This window comes from Homo sapiens, chromosome 8 (genome assembly GCF_000001405.40).
Source record: "Homo sapiens chromosome 8, GRCh38.p14 Primary Assembly".
Taxonomy (NCBI): domain Eukaryota; kingdom Metazoa; phylum Chordata; class Mammalia; order Primates; family Hominidae; genus Homo; species Homo sapiens.
The window spans coordinates 81,328,307-81,354,169 of NC_000008.11; the positions used below are offsets into that span (position 1 = coordinate 81,328,307).

Genomic DNA, 25,863 nt, shown 5'->3' on the forward strand with positions numbered 1-25,863 from the left:
TAAAATTCTCTTTTTTTGTGTGTCTCTGCCCGGCTTTGGTATCAGGATGATGCTGACCTCATAAAATGAGTTAGGGAGGATTCCCTCTTTTTCTATTGATTGGAATAGTTTCAGAAGGAATGGTACCAGTTCCTCCTTGTACCTCTGGTAGAATTCAGCTGTGAATCCATCTGGTCCTGGACTCTTTTTGGTTGGTAAGCTATTGATTATTGCCACAATTTCAGCTCCTGTTATTGGTCTATTCAGAGATTCAACTTCTTCCTGGTTTAGTCTTGGGAGGGTGTATGTGTCAAGGAATTTATCCATTTCTTCTAGATTTTCTAGTTTATTTACATAGAGGTGTTTGTAGTATTCTCTGATGGTAGTTTGTATTTCTGTGGGATCGGTGGTGATATCCCCTTTATCATTTTTTATTGCGTCTATTTGATTCTTCTCTCTTTTTTTCTTTATTAGTCTTGCTAGCGGTCTATCAATTTTGTTGATCCTTTCAAAAAACCAGCTCTTGGATTCATTAATTTTTTGAAGGGTTTTTTGTGTCTCTATTTCCTTCAGTTCTGCTCTGATTTTAGTTATTTCTTGCCTTCTGCTAACTTTTGAATGTGTTTGCTCTTGCTTTTCTAGTTCTTTTAATTGTGATGTTAGGGTGTCAATTTTGGATCTTTCCTGCTTTCTCTTGTGGGCATTTAGTGCTATAAATTTCCCTCTACACACTGCTTTGAATGTGTCCCAGAGATTCTGGTATGTTGTGTCTTTGTTCTCGTTGGTTTCAAAGAACATCTTTATTTCTTCCTTCATTTCATTATGTACCCAGTAGTCATTCAGGAGCAAGTTGTTCAGTTTCCATGTAGTTGAGCAGTTTTGAGTGAGATTCTTAATCCTGAGTTCTAGTTTGATTGCACTGTGGTCTGAGAGATAGTTTGTTATAATTTCTGTTCTTTTACATTTGCTGAGGAGAGCTTTACTTCCAAGTATGTGGTCAATTTTGGAATAGGTGTGGTGTGGTGCTGAAAAAAATGTATATTCTGTTGATTTGGGGTGGAGAGTTCTGTAGATGTCTATTAGGTCCGCTTGGTGCAGAGCTGAGTTCAATTCCTGGGTATCCTTGTTGACTTTCTGTCTCGTTGATCTGTCTAATGTTGACAGTGGGGTGTTAAAGTCTTCCATTATTAATGTGTGGGAGTCTAAGTCTCTTTGTAGGTCACTCAGGAATTGCTTTATGAATCTTGGTGCTCCTGTATTGGGTGCATATATATTTAGGATAGTTAGCTCTTCTTGTTGAATTGATCCCTTTACCATTATGTAATGGCCTTCTTTGTCTCTTTTGATCTTTGTTGGTTTAAAGTCTGTTTCATCAGAGACTAGGATTGCAACCCCTGCTTTTTTTTGTTTTCCGTTTGCTTGGTAGATCTTCCTCCATCCTTTTATTTTGAGCCTATGTGTGTCTCTGCACGTGAGATGGGATTCCTGAATACAGCATACTGATGGGTCTTGACTCTTTATCCAATTTGCCAGTCTGTGTCTTTTAATTGGAGCATTTAGTCCATTTACATTTAAAGTTAGTATTGTTATGTGTGAATTTGATTCTGTCATTATGATGTTAGCTGGTTATTTTGCTCGTTAGTTCATGCAGTTTCTTCCTAGTCTCGATGGCCTTTACATTTTGGCATGATTTTGCAGCGGCTGGTACCGGTTGTTCCTTTCCATGTTTAGCACTTCCTTCAGGAGCTCTTTTAGGGCAGGCCTGGTGGTGACAAAATCTCTCAGCATTTGCTTGTCTGTAAAGTATTTTATTTCTCCTTCACTTATGAAGCTTAGTTTGGCTGGATATGAAATTCTGGGTTGCAAATTCTTTTCTTTAAGAATGTTGAATATTGGCCCCCACTCTCTTCTGGCTTGTAGAGTTTCTGCCGAGAGATCCGCTGTTAGTCTGATGGGCTTCCCTTTGAGGGTAACCCGACCTTTCTCTCTGGCTGCCCTTAACATTTTTTCCTTCATTTCAACTTTGGTGAATCTGACAATTATGTGTCTTGGAGTTGCTCTTCTCGAGGAGTATCTTTGTGGCGTTCTCTGTATTTCCTGAATCTGAACGTTGGCCTGCCTTGCTAGATTGGGGAAGTTCTCCTGGATAATATCCTGCAGTGTTTTCCAACTTGGTTCCATTCTCCCCATCACTTTCAGGTACACCAATCAGACGTAGATTTGGTCTTTTCACATAGTCCCATATTTCTTGGAGGCTTTGCTCGTTTCTTTTTATTCTTTTTTCTCTAAACTTCCCTTCTCGCTTCATTTCATTCATTTCATCTTCCATCGCTGATACCCTTTCTTCCAGTTGATCGTGTCGGCTCCTGAGGCTTCTGCATTCTTCACATAGTTCTTGAGCCTTGGTTTTCAGCTCCATCAGCTCCTTTAAGCACTTCTCTGTATTGGTTATTCTAGTTATACATTCTTCTAAATTTTTTTCAAAGTTTTCAACTTCTTTACCTTTGGTTTGAATGTCCTCCCGTAGCTCAGAGTAATTTGATCATCTGAAGCCTTCTTCTCTCAGCTCGTCAAAGTCATTCTCCATTCAGCTTTGTTCCATTGCTGGTGAGGAACTGTGTTCCTTTGGAGGAGGAGAGGCGTTCTGCTTTTTAGAGTTTCCAGTTTTTCTGCTGTGTTTTTTCCCCATCTTTGTAGCTTTATCTGCTTTTGGTCTTTGATGATGGTGATGTACAGATGGGTTTTTGGTGTGGATGTACTTTCTGTTTGTTAGTTTTCCTTCTAACAGACAGGACCCTCAGCTGCAGGTGTGTTGGAGTACCTGGCCGTGTGAGGTGTCAGTCTGTCCCTGCTGGGGGGTGCCTCCCAGTTAGGCTGCTCGGGGGTCAGGGGTCAGGGACCCACTTGAGGAGGCAGTCTGCCCGTTCTCAGATCTCCAGCTGCATGCTGGGAGAACCACTGCTCTCTTCAAAGCTGTCAGACAGGGACATTTAAGTCTGCAGAGGTTACTGCTGTCTTTTTGTTTGTCTGTGCCCTGCCCCCAGAGGTGGAGCCTACAGAAGCAGGCAGGCCTCCTTGAGCTGTGGTGGGCTCCATCCAGTTGGAGCTTCCCAGCTGCTTTGTTTACCTAAGCAAGCCTGGGCAATGGCGGGCACCCCTCCCCCAGCCTCGCTGCCACCTTGCAGTTTGATCTCAGACTGCTGTGCTAGCAATCAGTAGACTCCGTGGGCGTAGGACCCTCCGAGCCAGGTGCGGGATATAATCTCGTGGTGCACCATTTTTTAAGCCCGTCGGAAAAGCGCAGTATTCGGGTGGGAGTGACCCGATTCTCCAGGTGCCGTCTGTCACCCGTTTCTTTGACTAGGAAAGGGAACTCCCTGACCCCTTGCACTTCCCGAGTGAGGCAATGCCTCGCCCTGCTTCTGCTCGCGCACGGTGCGCACACCCACTGACCTGCGCCCACTGTCTGGCACTCCCTAATGAGATGAACCTGGTACCTCAGATGGAAATGCAGAAATCACCGGTCTTCTGCATCGCTCACGCTGGGAGCTGTAGACCGGAGCTGTTCCTATTCGGCCATCTTGGCTCCTCCCCCTTAATAGAGTTCTTTTCATTTACCATAATCATATTCTTCTCAGAGAGCACAATTATTCAGTGGGAGAATATGAAAACAAAGCAAAACAAGGGCCTCACTCCCTTACCTTAGGAAACCATGCATTCACCAAATATTTGCTGAGCACTTATCATGTGCCAGTCGTTGTGTTAAGCACTGAGGTTACAGAAGTGAACAAAACAGATGCTGAACAATTAGAGCAGTGTTGAGTATTGCAACAGAAGAAATACAGAGTTGAATAAACTATGGCTCAACTTTAGCAAATTTTATGGAAAGATGAACTAACACAAAGAAAACACAGAGAACATATGATTTGCAACTTAATGCTTGGTTTAGTAAATATTAATAGAAACAATTAATACTAATCAGTGTACAGTAACACAAAGATAAAACAATGGCAAACCTTAAACTTTTAACATATTATCATCCCTAAATAGGCATAAAATCCTGTTAGTGGCAAACAGTGATAGGGCAGTGAGAGTGATCTATTCTGGGTATAGGCAACCAAATGGTGTTTTTTTTTCTGTAGAGCATTTAAAAACAATAATAAAATAGGCTAGGTGGTCTGCTTTTGATTATTACCACATGCAGGCAATTTAAACCATGTTAGTGATAAAATATCCTTCCCTGTGAATAAAGATCGTTTGTTGGTTTGGATTCTAAACAATTGTTGTTGTGGTTACTACTGTATTTTAAGTATATACGTAAGCTTCAAATTAGCATATTTTTATTTTTTATAATTTATCCTTTCACAAACATTAAATTCTATGTAGGAGCTATTTGAAGAATTCCTCAGTTACACACTTAGTCTCCTATGCACATGAAGAGTCAAATGGATGTTTTCATTTTGAGCGGAGTGTTGAAATGTTTTGAGCTTCTTTTGGTGCAGTTCATCTCTTTATAGATTCTTGAGTCTAAATAATGAACGATGGTATGACTTTTATTTTTGTGTGTGTGACTAGAATCAAGGGAATGCAAATTGCACCTATAAAGAGACAACAGTAAATCCCATCAGAATAGCAAGAATTTAAAATAACTGATAATGCCAAGTGTTGACAAGGATGCAGACCACTATTTGTGATTTACAATCTCCTTGGGAAAACCGTTCTGCATCTATAAAATTTGAACAAGTTCATACTCTATGACCCAGCAATTACATTCCTAGGCAAATATCCAACATAAATTTATATGCATGCTGAAAGACATTCAAGAATGTTCAGGGCAATGTCATTTGTAATAGCCTCTAACTGGAAACATTTCAAACTGTAAAGAATTGAATGAATAAACAAATTGTGGTGTATTTATACAATGGAATAATGCACAACAATGAGGATGACACCTCTATACTCAACAATCTGGATGAATCTCAGGAACATAATGTTGAGTCATATAACTCATATACAGAGTATTACATGGTTTATAATTTCATTTATATAAAATTCAAAAACCAGAAAAATTATTCTGTGGTGTTAAAATTCAGGGCAGTTAATATTTTTTGAGGGTGGAGGGGATATGGCTTGAAAGAGACATGACGTTGTTTTCTGGTGTTTCCTAGTGTTGGGGTATTTTATTTATTATTTTTTGTTTTGAGACAGGGTCTCGGTCTTTCACCAAGGCTGCATTGCAGTGGCACAGTCACAGATCACTGCAGGCTTGACTGCCCAGGCCCAGACGATTCTCCCACCTTAGCCTCCTGAATAGCTGGAACTACAGGTGAGTGCCACCATGCCCAGCTAATTTTTGTAGAGATGGGGTTTTGCCATGTTGCCCAGGCTGGTCTTGAACTCCTGGGCTCAAGCAATCTGCCTACCTCTGCCTCCTAAAGTGCTGGGATTACAGGCATGAGCCACCACACCCAGTCAGGTGTTTCCTAATGATGTTTAATTTCTTGACTTAGTTGATATTTATATGGATGTGTTCCCTTTGTGATAATCCAATGAAATGTACTTTTATGATTTGTATACTTTTCTGAGTGTATAATTCAATAAAAATGTTTATTGGAAAAAAAATAGCTAAAAACAGTAAGGTATGAACAAAAGATATTACAGACATTGTATTTTGGGGGTATTATTGTACAGTCTGGTATGAGTAGGCTCACAAGTTTAGTTGTAACACATACAGATAGAATTTTCTTTAAGAAAACCGGAAATGAAGAAATCCACATTTACAAAACAAGTAAACCAAGAGGGGTGTTATTTATATAATACTGAATACAACTTTTAAGGAATTCTTCTCTTTCTTTGTGCATTAACATATATTTTTCAATTATTTTATTCCAATACTCGGAGGAAATAAATTATGTTGTTTTTTTTTTTGAGACAGGGTCTCACTCCCATTGCCCAGGCTGGAGTGCAGTAGTGCGATCATGGCTCACTGCAGCCTTGACTTCCTGGGTTCAGGTGATTCTCCCACCTTAGCATCCTGGGTAGCTGGGATTACAGGCACATGCTGGCTGGCTAATTTTTTGTATTTTTTTTAGTAGAGGCAGGCAGGGTTTCACCATGTTGTCCAGGCTGGTCTCAAACTAAGCTGGGATTACAGGCACATGCTAGCTGGCTAATTTTTTGTATTTTTTTAGTAGAGGCAGGCAGGGTTTCACCATGTTGTCCAGGCTGGTCTCAAACTCCTGGGGTCAAGAGATCTGCCCTCTTTCACCTCCCAAAGTGTTAGGATTATAGGTGTGAGCCACCACACCCAACTTCTATTGTGTAATTTTAAAAAGCTAAGTATTCTACCTTCCATTTCACCTCTGTATCTTTTCCCTGCATATTATTCTTATGAGACTCAAATGGCCTATCATCACTATCTTCAGTATCATCATTATCCCATTGCATTTGCATCATGCTTAACAGTAACAAAGAGCTTTTTCACTGGTCGCACAAGTCTCAGAGGTAAAGACTTGTTTACCTCTCACATTCTGCATGAGCAAACAAACTCAAAGTGGCCAAGAGATTTTCCTAATACTTCATTGCTCACAGGAGGTGAAGCTCTGCCCTAGTCCAGCATTCTATCTTCAGTAGCCCTTGAATCTGTCAGATTACTTGGTTGCAAGCTACAGAGACCAACTGGGTCAACCTAAGACAAGTAAAGAGAGAGAGAGAAAGAGAGAGAGAGAAATCAAGAAAAAAAACAAGGAAAGAAAGAAAAAAAGAAAGAGAAAAATAAGAGAAACAGAGAGAAAGAGGGAGGACAGGAGAGAGGAAGGGGGGCAGCAGGGAGGGAAGTCGGAATACGCTGGAAGCATACCAGGGGCTCAAGTATTAACAAGAGGCTGAAGCACATGTCTTGGAAAAGTGGCAGTTACCAGGCAGCTGCAGAGGCTTGGCATCAGAAATGATGATGCAGAAGCCATCTGGTCTTTGTGGAGTTGCTGGGATGAGTCTGAAATCCAAAAAATATGTTTTCCTTGCTCAGGATTCAAATTTCCAGGAAGGAGTCCTGACGGGCTGAGTTTTCCTTTTGTGCTACTCCCTGGCTATACTAAAAGGCTAGGTAAGAATTAGGTCCCTTCATTCCTGGGAGGGGGCAGTCAGGATTAGAGAACATCTCAAAAGGGATGTTATAGTGAAGGACTTCCCTCAAAGGAAAATTAGGGTGCTCATTGTAGTGAGTTGTTGGATGACAGAGAGCTGAAAAACATGGCAAACCTCTTCTATAATACTCGTCCACACACTGGAGAAAAACCAAATAGGTGATCATGTTAGCAGCTGGAATCATGATCAATGTGAAAGTCTGAGATTCTGAAGACATTCAGGGTTGAACCAATCTGTTAGTTCCTGGTGGCTTTACAGCCCTTGTGGTTGCATGGAGCTGTGTTACTTTAAACCAGGCCCAACACTTGGTTTCCCGACTGAGTTGATTCTCAACCTTAACTAGTAAGACACAAATTAAGACATGCCAATTATTCTAAATACTCAACAGGGTGAAAAAAATGGAACAATAACAACAGAAAAGCTAAAGGGCATCTAAGAGGACATAAAATAGCAATCACCAACACAATAGCAAACAGAGAAGTGGAGGCTGTGGCCCCGTGTAGCAGCTGGAATAGTTAGAAAAACAAGTAGAATTTTAAGGGAGTGCATTAGTTACTAGGGCTGCCATAACAAAGGGCCATACACTGATTGGCTTAAAAAGATCTTTATTGTCTTGCAATTCTGGAGGCTGAATTCCAAGATCACGGTGTCAGCAGGACTGGCGCCTTCTGAGGGCTCTGAGGGAGAGTCTGCTCCATGCCTCTCTCCTGGCTTCTGGTGGTTTGCCGGCAATCTTTGGTGTTCCTTGGCCTGTAGGTGCATCACCCCAATCTCTGCTTTCATGCTCACATGCTGTCCTCCCTGCCTGTGTCTCTGTGTCCAGGTTTCCCTTTTGTATAAGTACACCAGTCATACTGGATTAAGGCCCAATCCTAACGACCTCATTTTCATTTGATTACCTTTAAAGACCCTATTAGCAGGTAAGGTCACATTCTAAGATACTGAGGGTTAGGCTTTAAACATATCCATTTGGAGGACACAATTCAAATTATAAAAGGGAGGATGCTTCTTATTGGTCAAGAGTCATGCTTTTTAGTTTCCCTTTGTCTGGGGACCAATAAGCATGTTCAACACTGCATCACATGTAGGAGCAATTCAGTTTGTGAGAAGGTCAGTGAGTTTATGACCCTCAAATGAGAATGCCAAGGCTGCAGATATTATGTCCTGAAGTCTGATCTTTATTAACTCTGCTAATTTCCTAGTTTCATGTTTACTACAAAGTATAAAGTCTTTTTCTAGGAGAGTGTTGACTGTGACATGTTATTCAACACACTTATTTTATTTAAAGGTTTAATTTCTTTCATTTCAATCTTAATTTTCCAAGACTTATTGAGGATTTTGCTTTTGTTAATAATTTTTGTACCCTTTAAGTATGATATCAATGGTAAAGAGGTATTATTAGAATTAGAGAATATTATAATTTAATAAAAACACAATATTTATTAAACAATTATTATGTGCCAGGAACATAAGTTCTTTATATGGATTATCTTATTTAATTTCTGAATGATTCTTATTTTACTCATGAGGAAGCTGAGGCTATGGAAGGTTCCATGAATTTCTCAGGGTATCTTACAATGAGGGGAAAATTTGGACTCAGGCTGATTCTAGAGTCTGGGTGTCGCCACTTTGGCGACATTATGGAAATAATTTCCATAATTTGAGATGATGCAAAAATTTGCCTTTGACTCCTCACAAACCAGGATCTTTTTTATTCCTAACTAAAAACTATCCGAAATATTTGCTGTGTGGTAACAGCAATATTGTGATCAACTGTTCTGCAGTTCTGGAGCCGTCCGTGGGAGGAAGAGTGGAGGAAGAGGAGGCGGAAGAAGGAAGGAGGAAGGGCCGTACCAAGTCACCGGTGAACGTTCCCAGCACGCACAGGACTCCTCCCAGAAACAGACAGGTGGAAGCTGACCACTAAAAGCTGGCTAGAGAGAGCCAGGGCACTCAGGACTTGGGGGAGAGTTGAAGTATTATGTTGGCAAAAGACTCTATGGGTATCCTCACTTGACTAGAAGAAGGATTACTTTTTCCTTGGACCCAGGTCAGCACTCTTTTGGGTTATGTGATGCAAGACATTCATGCCAAGAGATGAATTTTTCTCCACCTGGCATGCACTGCATGGCATTAGATTTCCATTGATTTAAAGGGGGAAGACACAGCTGCCTCAAATAACAAACATGCATCTTCTGCAGCTGGTAATGGATGAAAAAAACCTGCATTTTTTTTCTTTTCAATGTCTGGAGAGAGTCAGGAGAGGAGAGGCGGGATATATTAAATTATCCTTTGGCGAGCTTTAGCTTCTGAGTGCCTCAGGCCTTACCCTGGAAATACTCCGCATCAAGTATGCACAGGGATGCAAGAAGAAATTAATCTTGCCATCAGTAACACTTTGTTTTTGGAAACTCTCTATGTCAAAAAGCGTCAGCTCCCAAGAGTTTTGGCTACTTTCTTAATTATCTTTGCAACTGAGCAAATGTTTTCTCTCCTCCTCTAAAGGGAAGGTAATTTGCTCTTTTTCTCTCTTTTTCCCTGAATGTTTGCAAATACTATGGCCTTTAGCAGGTTTTGGATAGACTTGAGAGCTATAAAGCCAAATCATTTGCAATCCTATAATCTTATTTGTTTCTTCCAGGAATCTGCTGAGGTGTTCACAGCTGCCTGCCTGCCTGCCGTGTCAGATAGTAGAAGTGGTGTGATGATGACCAAGTTGGATGGTGAATGGAAGATTCTCGACACCAGGTACTGCCCAGCCAACAAGACACAGGCTTGTCCCACCGCAGCAGAAAGTTGTTCTGTAGGCCAATAGCGAGACTGAGAAATGGCCAGATGCAAAAGAAACCAGTTCTGACTGCACTCCAGCTCTGCCTACCAAGTCAGGGCCAGGAGGCCCACGAACACTCCCTCATTGCTGACACTACAGAGCTGAGCTTCACAAAGTGCTCCCTGTTGGCTCTGCATTTAGACCTCCCACAACTACAGATAAAACAGAGGGAGACTAACATGCCTTAGAAACTAAGCAAATAACTTAAAGGATAATATTTAAACATGCTCATATATCTAGATCTTGATCTTCCTTTATTCAATTTCATGGTCATGCAAATATAACAGCTTGAGATATTTTTAGTCCTGTGCAGTGTATGCTAAAATAGTGTCTGGCTTTTCTAGATTTCAAGGTCTGAATCTTATTTAGCTATCAATTCAATTAGCAGGGAGTTTGCCAAATAACTTACATGTGGAGAGGGTGTGGGGGGAACGCCACAGCTACACTGATTAGGGAGGGCATTATATGGTTAAGTGTTCATAAACCAAAACCACATTTTCTTCCTCTACTCAAGGGTCCCTTGGTGATCTTATGCAAGTCCAAAGAGGAAAGTTTCATCATACTGAAAACAAGAGATAGTGTGAGACTTAATGAGTATTTCTTGCGAATCGTCAACCTTACATTTTAAATTGGAAATGCCTCTGTATTCTATTAGGCTAACAGAAAAGTGTTATACATTTATGTTATGATATTCAAAAGGAAGCACTTTCAAGTTATTAGATAGGAGGTGTTAGATACTTAGAGTATCACCAATTTTCCAATATATTTTTTTATTGTCTTTATATGATGACTTTATTTCAGAAAAAAGAAAAAAGGAAAAAAACCAGACTCCAAATATTTGAGTTACTTTTATGCTTACCTCTGAACTGAAACTACTGAAGCGATTTCCCTCCTGGAAACCAGTTAAATGGACATAATCTCAAAAGATTATACTTTCAGGCCAGGCGGCAGTGGCTCATGCCTGTAATCCCAGCACTTTGGGAGGCCAATGTGGGTGGATCACCTGATGAGTGATGAGTTTGAGACTAGCCTGGCCAACATGGTGGAACCCCATCTGTAAAGAAATTACCCGGGTGTGGTGGTGCACCCCTGTAATCCCAGCTACTTGGGAGGCTGAGGTGTGAGAATTGCTTGAACCTGGCAGGTGGAGTTTGCAGTGAGCTGAGATCATGCCATTGCCCTCCAGCCTGGGAGACAGAATGAGACTCTGTCTCAAAAAAAAAAAAAAAAAAAAAAAAAAAAAAGATTATACATTCAGAAAATGTCATTCCTTGACTCTGGAAAATGAGAGCACTTTGAACAACTACAAGGGTGGGTCTTTTACTGCTCCTTTTCCTCCCTACTTGGTTTATGTTCAAGTTGAGGAACCACATTACTCCATGAAGGGTGATACAGAAAAACACCACCAACAACAAAAACACACACAAAGAAATGCTGGGACAGAGAATGCTCAACAGTGAAGCATGAAGGGGTACACGTTGGTAATGTGCTGTTTGTTCTCTCTGCCCTGTCTCCTAACCCTCTCCTAACTCCTGCTCACTGGTAGAAGGCACCCTCTTTCTCTGCTTTTTGAATGTTTCCTTCTGCTGCATGAAAAGGCTTCTCTCTCAACAGTTTACATGTCATCTCAAAAACAACCATTTCTAAGTTCCCAGTATTTTGATCCTTTCATTCCCTAAGCAAAAGTTCCCAATAATTTTACTAGTTTTGGGACCCACTGCATGGAGGTATTAACCATTGGGAAATCCCCAGTAGAGTGCATATAAATTCTTAAAGAGAAATCTCACAGCCACAGCCTTTGGTACACATTACTTAACACCATTTGCCTTGGGCCTGTTAGGGACAGGGATATTGATGTCGGATTGGGAAATACTGCACAGATGCAATAAGGACCAATGTGCTTTCTCTGGGAGTCCCCTATTTCTAGACTAGAGAGGATAATTCAGTGCCTAATTAAAAGGCTGAAAAGACACAAAGGAAACAAACTTCAGAGACTTTTCAGAGAATAATTCCTTAGAAACTCCTAGAAGACTAGCTACCAAATTTATAATGGTGTCATCAAAACATTTGATCTCTGGCACTGTATCTTTCAGAAATGCAGCTGCCTTAGCAGAGAGCTGGCTGGGCACTTGGCAGCTATTTTTTTTAATGTGCTGCCAAAGGTAAGAGTTGCCATTGCTAGTAATTATAAATTATAAACCGGCAGCCAAATGGGAGCAATTATGAAAAGTGACCTATGAGCCAGTTTTTATAAAGTCATCAAAATAAGTAAGGAAATTTATTTTTCTAACGAATAAAACAAGTTTAATCTTATATGTGTGCCATTAAGAAAGTCAGTGATGGAATATATGAAGAACAAATGAGTCAGGCAGCAACCCATGGCACTCAATCACATGTTGAGTGCTCATCTCCAATGTTTCATTTCCTGGTTTAGGGAGATCAGGTTTCCTGAAGGAAGTGTAAAGGCCAGATATATCAAAGGTAAGATGCAAAGTCATTTAGGGGGACAATTTCTATAGGAAGGGAGGCTGATATCATTATTATTTAGCATCTGCTGTTCATCAAGCACTAGATATTTCTAGCACTTTGCATCTCTGATCCCAGGTCCTGGGCTCAATAACTCTATGAAGGTGATATAATTATCCTCATATTTCAGATGCTCATTGGGCAGGTGAAGTAAATGTTACAATGTCTCACAGACTGTAAGTTGACTTCAGAGAGTCCCTTCTAAAGTCTGATCCCAGTTCCAAAGCCCATGTGCCTCTCTGTTGCCTCTCATCTAGGTGACCTTCAAGGGCACCCAATAAAGAGGAAATGACATCCCAGTAGGGCTGCCCGCCCAATCTGTAAATGAATGGAAGGAAAAATGTCACTGCTGGCTGCAAGAAGGAGTGTATTAATTCTACCCTCCTACCTTTAACTCAACCAAATCCCCTGCAACAATCTCCTCACTGTTCTGAGTGTTTGCTCACCCAATCTGTGGAATTCAACTGACAAATCCAGTTTCATCCTCTTCTCTGATCTTATTTAGTGACCTTATTAGACTGACCTTATTAGAATCGGAGTCACTGCCTAATGCCTCCTCACCTTCCTAGCTCCTTCTGTCCACACCTCTCTAGTTTCTCCTCTGTGTGCTCCCTTTGACAGGATTCTGCCATTCTGATTCTTGTGTTTTAGCTTCTGTCTTTTACTTGTACCTGTGGAACCCGTGGGCCAAGTCCGCTCACCACAGATACCTCTCATGGGAAGGACACTACGTTAAGCTCAGAGAAGTACATTTAATCATTAGTAACTGTATTTGGACATTTTTCTAAACATTGTTAAGTCATTGCTTTTAAGGCTGTTAAAACCATTTTAATGTTTTGTTTGTTTGTTTGTTTGTTTGTTTTGTAAATCAGTAAATTTGGTTCTTGGTCATTTCGATCACTTGGTGAATTAAGTTTTTTCCTCATTTCCTAACTGGAAATTAGGAGTAATTACTGGACAAGGCTCAACTCAGCAGTTGGCTCTCTTTTCTGGAACTTTGTTCTACTTCCTGGAAATAGAGGTGGAAGTCCAGAGAGTCAGAGCCTAGAGACATGAGGCATGAAAAGTCATTCTGTTTTGGTGGCTGGTGAGAAGTGGGTAGAACTTCCTATAATCAAGCAGCATCTGGACAGTCTTGGTTGGAACGAGGTCCTCCTGTTATTTTAGCCTGGAATGGCGCTTGCAGTTCATCTCTCTCCAACTGGTGCAGGAAGAAAAAGGCAAAGGCATTTTAAATCATGGATTTTCCTTCCCTTACAAAGGTCATAGATTAATCTGATGAAAATGAACAGCTTTAAAAAGAATGGCCTAACAACTTTTAGAAAAATGTCCATAATAATTATGATGATTAAACATATTCTTCTGAACACAGTTGTCCAAACAATAGGTAGCATGTCAAATGAAAAATTTTCAGTTTATACTGATTTTTGTTTGAAAATTGTAAACATCATTTTCAGTTTGTTAACACTTAGGATCTTAATTTTAGTACTTTTCAGACTTCTAACTAGCTTTTTAATATTTCCTTTACAATTTTACATTGATTCTGAGTATATATCAAATTATTTTGATGTACAAGACATCTGATCCATTAAAGTATTCCCTTCTAAACATCCTTGCTTCCTTTCCACTGATTTGAGCAGGGTTATATTTTTAAGTTGAAATTTTCTGCAAACTGCTACCCATCTTTCTGTTTATGAATTTGTTAGAAACCAAAATGCCAGCATTTTATCTTTGATTAGGACTCCTGGTTAATTCTGATTTATGTCATGTGCTCTTTAAATTTAAATTTTTAATTTAATAAACATTCAATTTAATTTTAATTGAAATTTGAATCATCTGTATATTAACATTTAAATTAGTTAAATTAGAAATCTCTTGCTAAAAATGTAAATTAAGGCTGCTATGCCACTTGAAGAATTGATGAAATAATACTAAATGTGCTCTTGCTCTCACGACCCCTACAGCGGGATGCCTTGAACTAGACTTCAGCATACTCTGTATGTTTACATTTTGGAAAAAATAGTTTTATTATAACATGGCGAAACACTATCTCTACTAAAAATACAAAAAATTAGCCAGGTGTGGTGGCTCGTGCCTGTAGTCCCAGCTACTCAAGAGGCTGAAGCAAGAGAATCGCTTGAACCCGGGAAGCAGAGGTTGCAGTGAGCAGAGATTGTGCCACTGCACTCCAGCCTGGGTGACAGAGTGAGACTTCGTCTCAAAAATAAATAAATAAATACATAAATGAAAAAATCAATAGTCACATACTGAATTCCAAAATTTTGGATGGAAAAAGTGGTTCACAATGACATTTTCAGTGAATATAGGATTTCTCACCATTTTAACATTCTATTAGGAATATTTTATCAAGGTAGCCAATTAAATTTAGTTTAGCTAATATACAAAAGAATGTATTTGATTACATGTTATCAAAAATAAAATATGTTTATAGAAACTGCTAACAATGGCAGTTTGTAAATTTTGGTTATTCTGTAAATTGATTATTTCAAGAATTGATTTTTAGTGAATTGGCCTTCCTCCTTCTAGGAAACTTTGCAGCTAAAAATAAACAAGGCCAGGCATGGTGGCTCATGCCTATAATCCCAGCACTTTGAGAGGCTGAGACAAGCAGATCACCTGAGGTCAGAAGTTCAAGACCAGCCTGGCCAACATGGCGAAACCTCATCTCTACTAAAAATACAAAAAAATCAGCCTGGAGTAGTGGCACGAACCTGTAGTTCCAGCTACTTGGGAGGCTGAGGAAGGAGAATTGCTTGAGCCCAGGAGGTGGAGGTTGCAATGAGCCAAGATGGAGCCACTGCACTCCAGCCTGGGCAATAGAGTGAGTGAGACTGTGTCTCTAAATAAATAAATAAATAAATACACAAGAACATCAATAATAATGGCGACACTCATTCTAAGTAGATGATGAGCTAGAACATGCGTTAGGTACTCTACAGTAGTTGTCTTCATTTAATCCAAACAACAACTTTTTGAATTAGATATTATCATTTTACAGAGGGGATATCTGAGGTTCAAAGAGGTTAATAATGTAAGTTGCCCAAGGGAAGCAGAGTCAAGACTGCTTGTCTCAAAGACCAGGCTGTCTGGTAAAGTTTCCAAGCTGTGAAATATAAGATGGAAATTACTTTCCTTGTCCTAGATCAATAAAAATTAAGATCAGCATTTTTTGCTACCTAAATGGAAAGAGCTCAGCATGTCCATATATGGCAGCATCTGTGACAAAAGCATGTGGGCTGGAACCATTTCCAGTCTACAGGTCAGATGGTAGGAGTGGCTATAGAGACTATGCAGGTGGTGGGTCAGGTTCAGGCATCCTTCCTGCAGGAGGGTGAGACACTGGTAACTACTGGTTGTGGTTCCAGCTCTACATTCAGCACAGTCAGCTGCCTGCTGTTCCCTGTTCTCCATTTTTTCCCTATAAGACCCGTAGGTCTATTAGATACGAAGAAAAGCATCCTAGAACTAGTTGCTCTCTGGAATAATGTCAATCAGGCCTTAATAGCTGACAGGAGAGAGAGAGGGTCTCTTGTAACCTCAAAACATAGAGCTCAAGAGCGTATGCTGGCTGGGTGCTGTTGCTCAAGCCTGTAATCCCGGCACTTTGGGAGGCCAAGGCAGGTGGATCACCTGAGGTCAGGAGTTCAAGATCAGCCTGGCCAACATGGCAAAAACCCGTCTCTACTAAAAAATACAAAAAATTAACTGGGCATGGTGGTGGGCCCCTGTAATCCCAGTGATTCAGGAGGCTGAGGCAGGAGAATCACTTGAACCCAGCAGGCAGAGGTTGCAGTGAGCCAAGATCGTGCTACTGCACTTCAGCCTGGGCGACAGAGAGAGACTCCATCTCCAAAAACAAAAAGAGCGTATGCTGAAGTCTAGTTCAAGGCATCCCGCTGTAGGGGTCATGAGAGCAAGAGCACATGGAGTGGTTTTGTCTGACTTCTGGCAAAGTTTTATTTGGGTAAACTGGGATGAAATGCCGTCTATGGGACGACGTGTTGTATGAGCCTTAGATATTTATTAATACCAGGTAGCAAATACCTCCCCTCTTCCCTTTCCTCTTGCTTTCTATAACTGTCATGAGCAGCCTGGGAGTGACAGATCTAGGTGTAATATACTGTTATTAGATGCAGTTTGCTGTATACTTGATCACACTTGCCCCTCATATACTGCTTTCCATTTCCCACTGCAGCCTGAGAAAGAACAGGGTTTGAGAAGGAAGGGAAAGGCAACTGGGAAGATATCCTTTTCCTTTTGCTGCAGATGACATGGTACCATATCTATCCGATTATTTTTCTCTTTCAATCCCTCATCTCACACCCATCTTAGATTGAATGTCTCTAATTAGTGAGATAGCAATTTTTTTTTTCTTTAGAGACAGGGTCTTGCTCTGTTGCCCAGACTAGGGGGCAGTGGTACAATCATAGCTCACACAGCCTAGAATTCCTGGGTTCAAGTGGCAATCCTACTGAGTAACTGGGACTATAGGTGCATGCCACCATGCGCAGCTAATTTTTAAATTTTTTGTAGAGACGGGGTCTTGCTTTGTTGCTCAGGCTGGCCTTGAACTCCTGGGCTTATGTGATCTTCTCGCCTTAGCCATGCAAAGTTCTGGGATTATAGGCATGAGCCATTACACCCAGCCACAAATTTTTAAATATATATTTTTTAGTTTAAAGTTTACAGCTCAGGGTTTTCAATATATTCACAAAATTGTGCAACCATCACCACTATCTGATACTGGAACATTATCACAATCCTGAAAAGAAACTCTGTTCCCATTAGCAGTCATCTCCTTTTCCCTCTTCCCAGGTTTCTGGCAACCTACTTTCAGTCTCTACTTCTTGTCTCTTTAGATTTCTACTTTTTGTCTCGAATCTACTTTCTGTCTCTATAGATTTGCCTATTCTGGACATTTCATAAAAATTGAATCACAAAATGTGTTTGTTTCTGGCTTTTCTTTACTTAGCATAATGTTTTTAATGTTCACCCATGTTGTTGCCAGTATCAGTACTTGGTTCCTTTGTATAGCTGAATAATACTCCATTATATGAATATACCACATTTGTTTATCCATTCATCATTTGATGGACATTTCTACTTTTTTGGCTATTCTAAATAATGCTGCTATACACATTCATGTGCAGGTTGATATGGACATATATTTTCATGTCTCTTGGGTAATACTTAGAATTGTTGGGTCATATGGCAACTCTATGTTTAACTCCATGAGAAACTGCAAAATTGTTTTCTGAAGTGACTGCCCTATTTTACATTCCCACCAGCTATGTTTGAGGGTTCCAATGACTCACATCCTTTCTAATACTTGTTATTGTCCCTATTGTTGATTTTAGCCACCCTAGTTGATGTGAAGTCATGTGTACTTGATTTGCCTAATAACAAATGATGTTGAGCGTCTTTTCATATGCCCATTAGCCATTTGTATATCTTCCTTGGGGAAATACCTATCAAATCTTTGCCCATGTTTAAATCGTGTTATTTTTCTTTTTATTATTGATTTGCAGGAGTCCTTAAATATTTTAGATACATACACCTGTTGAAATCAAAATAAAAATACACAGAAGACTTTCTGAATTTAACATTTTATTTGGGATACAAGAATTGCAATGAGGGACATACATACAGATAGGATGGTCTTCAGTATATCCGAAGAATGAAGAGAAGACTGGGAGTTTATAAAAAAGAGAAATGTTATGTATTGTTTTTCCAGAAAGTTCTTTGGCATTAGTCAAATTTTCGGGAGGTGGCAAGCTCTCATTGGTGAGTTATGGCAGTAAAACCAGTCTTAGAATTGCAGCAGGTTGTTTCAGCAGCCGTGAGATAAAACTGGTTTCAGGTTACAGCAGGCAATTTCAGCATCCAGGCTTGCAGAAAATTACATTCTCAAAGTGCTGTTACATTCCCTGAGTGCTTCTCCTAATGGCTTCTTGACTCTGTTTTAGTTGGGTGTGACAAGAATGACCCAATTCACATCACTTATTGGATATATGATTTGCAAATGTCTTTTCCTATTGTGTAGGCTGTCTTTTCACTTTAACGGAGGGAACTCTTCATGTAGAAGGTGACATGTGGGATAGCTCCTGAAATGAATGGCAAAAATAGAATAAAGCTAAAAACTACTAAAATAAGAATATGCATTATAATATGTATGATAAACAGATTGTGTGATTAGGGCTGTTGCTCAACCATCTGTGCTGTGTATTTTTGTTTGCAGATCTATGATAACTTTCTGTGTTTCAAGTGTCACTGTTTAAGCTACTCTAAATTAAAGAAGAGCAAATTAAAAAGGCAAATTAAAGAAGAACAGCAATCTCTTTCTTGCTTCCTATATTGATCAATTCCCCTGATGAATGGTTTGCCAATTATCTATAAATACATTGGTAGGTATTTAAGGATAAGCAGACTAGAAACTGCATTTTCTAGGGCTTATTGGGAATAACATTCAGATAAGTCAATGTAATGTGGAAAATTTGCAAAACTTGCTTTCATCTGTAAAGCTTGGAATGCATAGGGATAGAATGCACTTTTCTGTCTTAAAAGTGAAAAAGATGGTCATGAAGTCCTTCAAAGAAACATGGACACACACAGACACATTGGCTAAAATAGCAAAGACATACTGGAATTCCTAGTGATTTCACTGTGATTCCTAATGATTGTGTATGGTACACTGTGAACTAAGATCATAAATTAATGCCAAGTTAGACAAGTAAGTTTTTGACACTGGAAATGGACAATGTCGTTACTGTATAAGATAAAAATGAAAAAAATACTATAATTAGGGACTGCCAGGCAGTAAATGAGATGCAGTTACCTGAAAGGGGAAATAAGAAAACATCTTACTTCACTGTATGCCAGTGAACGAAGTGTGATTTATACAGACAGTACTAAGTTAGGAAGGTGCCTTCCATGTGCAAGAAGAAAAAAACTAGGGGAAGAAAGTATATCCTGAAATATTCTTGGAGGCTTCTCTTTTCTGTCAACCTGAGAGATAATGATAGGAAGTTATGAGGAAGTGAGCTTTTCAATTATTGTGGACTGTTTTTATTTTTCTCAAAATCCCTTAGGTGAACAAAGGAAATCAAATCAATATAAACAATGGAAATGTCTGAGACATTTAGGAAATGGAAAACAATGTCCAACAGTAAGACTTGGACAGATCCAAACTGATACAGAAGTGGTGGAAAATTCCATCACCTTTGAATATTTACCCCCTCTGAAAATACAGCAGAACATCTACTGCTAACATCGTCAGTAGGACACTGAATTGGAATGATTTAATCAATCAAATACATCAGTCAAATTTTTACTCCCCATATCCAGGAGAAGCAGTTTCTCACAGATGTTTTATTGATATGTAGGATCGCCAGGAAAAGAGACATTTTCCAAGGTAATCTGGGAAAAGTCTTGATTAGAATGATTTACGGTTATTTTGGTAGCTCTGGGTTATTAGGCTTAGCTACTAGGCTGCTCTGTATAAGGTCCTCAGAAGTTAATAGGAATTAAAATAGAAAGTCAGACCAGTAATGATCCGGAAGAGGATTATATCCCCCAATTAAGACCACAGGATTGGTTTGTGGATGACAGAGTTGAGCTGCTGGCTCTCAACCCTGCAGATTAGGAACATACTAGAACTCTTTCTAGCTATTTTCAGAGTCCATTTTTGGATGTGTCACACATGACTTTACATAAACTTTTTACAAAATTTCATTTATATTTTTACTTGCCAGTGATATTTGTTGAGACTGGGTTTTACTACATATCACAGAGTTCTAGAATATCAATGACTTAAACAAGATAGTATTTTATTGCTTTCTTGTTAAGTCCAGAGGTGGGCAAGGCAGTGTGGAGATGGCAGGACTGATCCATGGTGGGCCCAGGGACCCAGCCTTGTCTCACATCGCCAGGCTACCTTCACACATGTGTGCCCTTATCCACATGATATAGTCATCACATCTGTGTTCCAGGCAGAAGGAAGGAGGAAGAGATGAAGAGTGGCCACAGGTGCCGTAGCTCATTCATAAATAATTTTGAAGAAGCTGCCAGAGGAAATTTCTACATACATCTCATTGGCCAGAACATAATCATATGATTACACCAAGCAGCAAGGCAGGCTGGAAATGGAGATTTGATTTACAAAACTATTTACCCAGCTAAAAAATTGAAATTCAATTACTCTGAAATAAAGGGAGAACAAATACCGGGAGACAGACTGTGGTATTCACAATACCACAACTTAGAAGCAAAGTATTAGACTGAATTTTTTTTTTTTTTTTTTGAGACAGAGTCTCACTCTGTCACCCAGGTGGGAGTGCAGTGGTGACATCTCGGCTCACTGCAACCTCCACCTCCCAGGTTCACGCCATTCTCCTGCCTCAGCCTCCCGAGTAGCTGGAACTACAGGTGCCTGCTAACATGCCTGGCTAATTTTTTGTATTTTTAGTAGAGACGAGGTTTCACCGTGTTAGCCAGGATGGTCTCCATCTCCTGACCTCGTGATACCCCCGCCTTGGCCTCCCAAAGTGCTGGGATTACAGGCGTGAGCCACCGCGCCCGGCCTAGAATGAATTTTGTAACACAATTCTGTCTTTTAGTTACTCTACATTTACCTGTTTTGAACTTCAGCACTGCCTTGTAGTTCTAATGTAACTGGCTTGATGTTGATCAAGAAGTAACTAAAAGATGCCTGAGATCTCTGACTGTGGAAATGAGAACTACATGGGGGTACATTTAATGGGGTTTAATGAGGTGGTTACCTTTTAATGTTTCACTGTTATTACAGAATAGTTGTGTTCACTCCTTTTGTACTCATTCTGTGATTATCTACTTAATTATTTGACTTTTAACAAATTATCAAATGTAACCACTCAGCAAACATTCTTTTCAGGCTGACTCTTAGACGTTTTTGTCTGTGTTTACATGACAGTGTCCCCATATCGCTGTGAACACTGTGAACGCCCTCCGCTGCACCTTCTGAAGCGTGAATGTTTCTTCTTTGGCAAAAGTAGAACTGAGTAAATAAACCTTGCCTCAGTGGAGAGAGACACTTTGGGTAATGAAAACTCACCAATGGTTTGGCCTAATTATGAATCATCAACAGGATATATGCTTCATGGCCAAAGAGATGGAAATGGATAATGCCATTTAAAATGTGGGAATATAATTACAGGAAGAAGAGATTATGAAACATCATAAATGTTGAAGAGAAATCTTGCTTCAGTTGCCACTTAAAGTAGGCCAGTAGGTTAAGGAAGAATATAAATAAATACATATTGTCTATTTAAACCATATAAACATTAGAAAGATATTTTAGTAGCAAAATTAATCTTGAAAATTATCCATCCAAATATTTTTATTTTATAGAAGAGGTTACTGAAATACAGGAAAGTGAGCCAGGAACTGTTATAAAATTAGTCATAAACCTCTCGGGAAAATAATTTCTATTTTTGCCATTATTGAATAATAGTCAACTATACACAAAAGATTTTTGTAAAATTCTCACAAAGAGCTGCAACTGTTAATAATTTTTCTCATAATCAATTATTGACATTATTTTTAAGTTAAATCTTGAAACAAATCCCTAAACTCCTAAAATGAGGGGAAAGAATCATCTCCTCATAAAAATGACATGATTTGGAGAGTAAAATTGACATTTGGATATCATGTCTTACTCCTGCAAGCAAAAGCCAGTTGATACTTAAATATATGTGTCTAACTGCTTAAATATAAACGCAAAAATTCCAAAACAACTCAAGCTTGGAAACACAGAAGTACTATGAAAACTGCTACCCATTGTTTATCTGCTGCTGCTTGTTTACCAAGAGCAAATGTGAGTGCTCGTACATTAGATATGAGAACTAACATCAAACCAGCTTAAAAACATATTTATTTCTTATATTCTCAGCTTTTCACAGCTTGGTGGGCAGGAACTAAAATTATTTCAGTGAAATCTAAAGAGAAACCCATTAATCTGGCAATCAGGGCGATGACAGGGCATTTATAAGCTACCAATCACATGTTGTATTTAGTCCTGCATGTTTCTCCATTAGCTTCTTCTGTTCAATATATTCTTCTAAAAAGGTTTTGGAAATATTTCATCTGTCTCTGTTGATTAAGGAGCATTTGTTTTCCATGCTTTAGTTGGATAATGAAGAAAATAAGCACTATAATCTACTTAACAAGCAAGACCGTGGAAAACTTAACCACGAAGCTAACAGAATTGCTGACCTTTTGTCATTTCTGCATCACCCACAGAATGACCTTCTGCCTGAAAAGTTCATCCAGAGAGTCATCACTTTGTACCCCTGATCAGCGTGCTAAGCAAAGAGCAGCTGTGACTCAGCCTGGTGACTGAAGAGATGGTTCCTGGTTCTTTTATAGGGCACCTGTGTCCATTTTGCTGCTGTGGACATCCATCTTTACTCAACATTCCTAAATTAAAATTGAAGGCTTTAGGAAGAGTTGTTATTATTATAAAGCTATCTTAAGAAATAATAGCCTTTAAAATTTATTAACACATTCTTAACAAATGTTATTGGGACAGGAAAATGAAGCAAACAAAAAGACATGAACAGAAGGGATTCTGTAGGATTTGTAGTTGATTCATTCATTCTCTTTCTTTCAGTCCATTTTTTTCTCCTCTCTCTTTTTCTTCCTCCCTTCCTTCCCTACCATTCTCTCCCCTCCCTCCCTTCCCATTTCCTTTTCTCTCCTCTCCAACACTGGTTACTGAAAATGCTTTACTTAATGATTTTGTAATGTCAGGACATGCTCTGGCAACCTCTCAAATACTTGGAAGGATTAATATGAAGGAACAGGCTGGCAGCTTGCTGAATTCATTTAAACAACAAATGCTATGGAACAAACAATTGTAAAAATGAGTGCCAGCTGGTTTTTTAAAGTAACTTTTCTTACTTAACTGAAGGCTGGTATCAATTGAACTAATTCAATGCAGAAGGGCCATCTTCATGCTGTTAACTCCAAAGAAATGTTGAGTTATTGTTTTTTGCAATAGTGGTGTACACAGCCTATTTCACTCTATCTTGGTATCTGTTTTCACAAAACCATCACAAGAACCCAGATATAACTCAAATCCAGTCTGTCCATTACACACAGATTAAAATTCCAGACATAAAACTAAATCTGTTTTTTTCAAATGAAAAATAATTTTAATTGACAAGTAGAAATGATCTTTACTGATCATATACAACACATCCTTTTGGAATACGTATACATTGTAAAATGGCTAAATTGAGCTAATTAACATACTTATTTTTTAGGGAATGAGAATACTTAACATTTCTCGGCAATTTTCAAGACTATAATATATTGATATTAACTATAGTCACCATGTTTTACGATAAATCTATTTAACTTATTCCTCCTATCTAACTTAAACTTTGTGTCCTTTGACCAACATCTCAATTGCCTCCTCGACTCCAGTTCCCTGGTAACTACCATTTTACTCCTTACTTGTATGAGTTCAACGTTTTTAGATTCCAAGTATAAGTGAGAACATGCAGTATTTTTCTGTACCTGGTTTATTTCACTTAATATCTCCTAGATTTATCTATGTTGTCACAAATGACAACATTTTCGTTTTCTCAGGGTCAAGTAGTACTCCATTGTGCATATATACCATATTTTCTTTATCCATTCCTATACTGATGGATACTTATTTTGAGTCCATATCTTGGCTATTGTGAATAATGCTGTAATGAACAGGGGAGTGTAGCTATCTCTTTGACATACTGATTTCATTTCCTTTGTATGTGTATCCAGAAGTAGGATTGCTGGATCATGTGGTAGTTCTATTTTTAATTTTTTGAGGAACCTTTATGCTATTTCCCATAAGTACAGCACTAATTGACATTCACACTAACAATGTACAAGAATTCTCTGTTCTCCACATCCTCACCAAAATTTATCTTTTGTCTTTTTGATAATAGTTATTATATCAGGTGTGAGGTGATATCTCATTGTGGTTTTAATTTGCTTTCTCTGATGATTAGTAATATTGGGCATTTTTCATATGCCTGTTGGCCACTTGTGTGACTTCTTTTGAGAAATGTTTATTCAGATCTGTTTCCCATTTTTAACCTGGGTTATTTGTTTTCTAACTATTGAGTTGTTTGAGTTCCTTAGAGATGTTGAACCCTCATCAGATGTATGGTTTGCAAATGTTTTCTCCCATTGCATAGGTTGTCTCTCTACTGTGTTGATTGTTTCCTTGACTGTGTCCATTACACACAAATTAAAATCACAGTAATTAAACCACATCTCTATTATTAGCTGGATTTCATGGGGGCACGTTTCACTGTAAGCATTTTGGATTCAGAGCTTTTCTGGTTACTTTGGGTAAAGGCCCCTAAGCGGCAGGATGCTTCTCCTCCAGGATTCCTTGGTTTCTGATCTCTGAACTAGCTATGTTCTTCAGCTACTTTTCAAACAAAAATGAATAACTTGCTGACTCACTGACTTTACACACAAAAGTATAAGAAACAACTTTCTTGGCAGAGGGGTTCATTTAATGTTCTCTAAACTTATTCTCCTTTGTGGCCCTGTTCTAGCAGCTGTTTTTTATCTTTATTATTTATTAATAGGGTTATGGCACACCATAGATTTTTGAACCTCTCTCTCTCTCTGGAGCTTAAATTATTGCCTGATAGGAAAACTATCAAATCATATTGATTGTTTCAGGTCTCAGAGATGTTTCTCCTGAGCTAATTTTCTTCCTCTTCCATTTGTCTCTTACCCAGGAGAGAAAATACAACCCAGAGTGTGTTAGAGGTGAATTGCTTCATGAATTGCTTCATGGAGCTTGCTGGCATTGATCAACACAGGATTCTGCCCTTTTCTTTTGTGGCAGTTTCCTGCTTAGATAAATTTTTCATTGCTGTGGTTTTAACGACTTATTTTTATTTTTTCTTTTTACAAAGTAATAAATGTGCATGGAAGTACTTCAAGTAGTACAAAGTGTATACAGTAAGTCTCCTTCCACCCACTGAGACCCAGTCCTCCAGCTCATCTCCCAAGAGGAGCGTCCCTAAAACTTCCCATTACAGAGACAAATTTCATTTCTTCGTCCTGTAATTCAGAGCTCTCCATGATCTTTCTTGAACCTCTTTCCCTCTTTTCTAACCCCTACTCCTGGCACATACCCCCTACTGTCACCATATCTGCTATCCTGCTCCTGGATGAGTCCTGGGTTTGCTCCTGGGTTTTCCCTGGGAAACACAGGTCTTTGCTCTGCTGGTCCCGTCTGGCAGGGTGTCCTCTGTTCTCCTCCCAAAGCCTGCCCAGCTTCAAAACTCTGCTCAGATCTAACCTGCCTTGCAAGG

General features: G+C 39.2%; 1 long non-coding RNA gene across 4 annotated transcripts, besides 2 other annotated features; it reads left to right on the plus strand.

Annotated features, from left to right (window-relative positions):
• Positions 2,789-3,289: an enhancer, noted in NCBI's record as "H3K4me1 hESC enhancer chr8:82243330-82243830 (GRCh37/hg19 assembly coordinates)". NCBI's record gives its function as "activates a minimal SCP1, AML or CMV promoter by ChIP-STARR-seq in naive H9 embryonic stem cells {active_cell/tissue: H9 hESC(naive)}" and the evidence as "EXISTENCE:reporter gene assay evidence [ECO:0000049][PMID:30033119]".
• LOC105375925 (uncharacterized) lies at positions 5,199-24,801 on the plus strand. Of its 4 annotated transcripts, XR_001745978.3 has the most exons (5): positions 5,199-5,305; positions 8,910-9,175; positions 9,767-9,873; positions 21,450-21,575; positions 22,778-24,801. It is a non-coding gene; the product is annotated as an uncharacterized LOC105375925 (long non-coding RNA). The 4 variants fall into 4 exon arrangements; XR_001745979.1 differs by lacking the exons at positions 21,450-21,575; positions 22,778-24,801 and having other exon boundaries at positions 8,910-9,635; positions 9,767-10,251; XR_001745977.1 differs by lacking the exons at positions 21,450-21,575; positions 22,778-24,801 and having other exon boundaries at positions 9,767-10,251.
• Positions 22,147-23,346: an enhancer, noted in NCBI's record as "CDK7 strongly-dependent group 2 enhancer chr8:82262688-82263887 (GRCh37/hg19 assembly coordinates)". NCBI's record gives its function as "activates an origin of replication core promoter dependent on BRD2, BRD4, P300/CBP, MED14 and CDK7 cofactors, with strong dependence on CDK7, by STARR-seq in HCT116 cells {active_cell/tissue: HCT116}" and the evidence as "EXISTENCE:reporter gene assay evidence [ECO:0000049][PMID:35650434]".
• Positions 24,802-25,863: the final 1,062 nt, after the last annotated feature.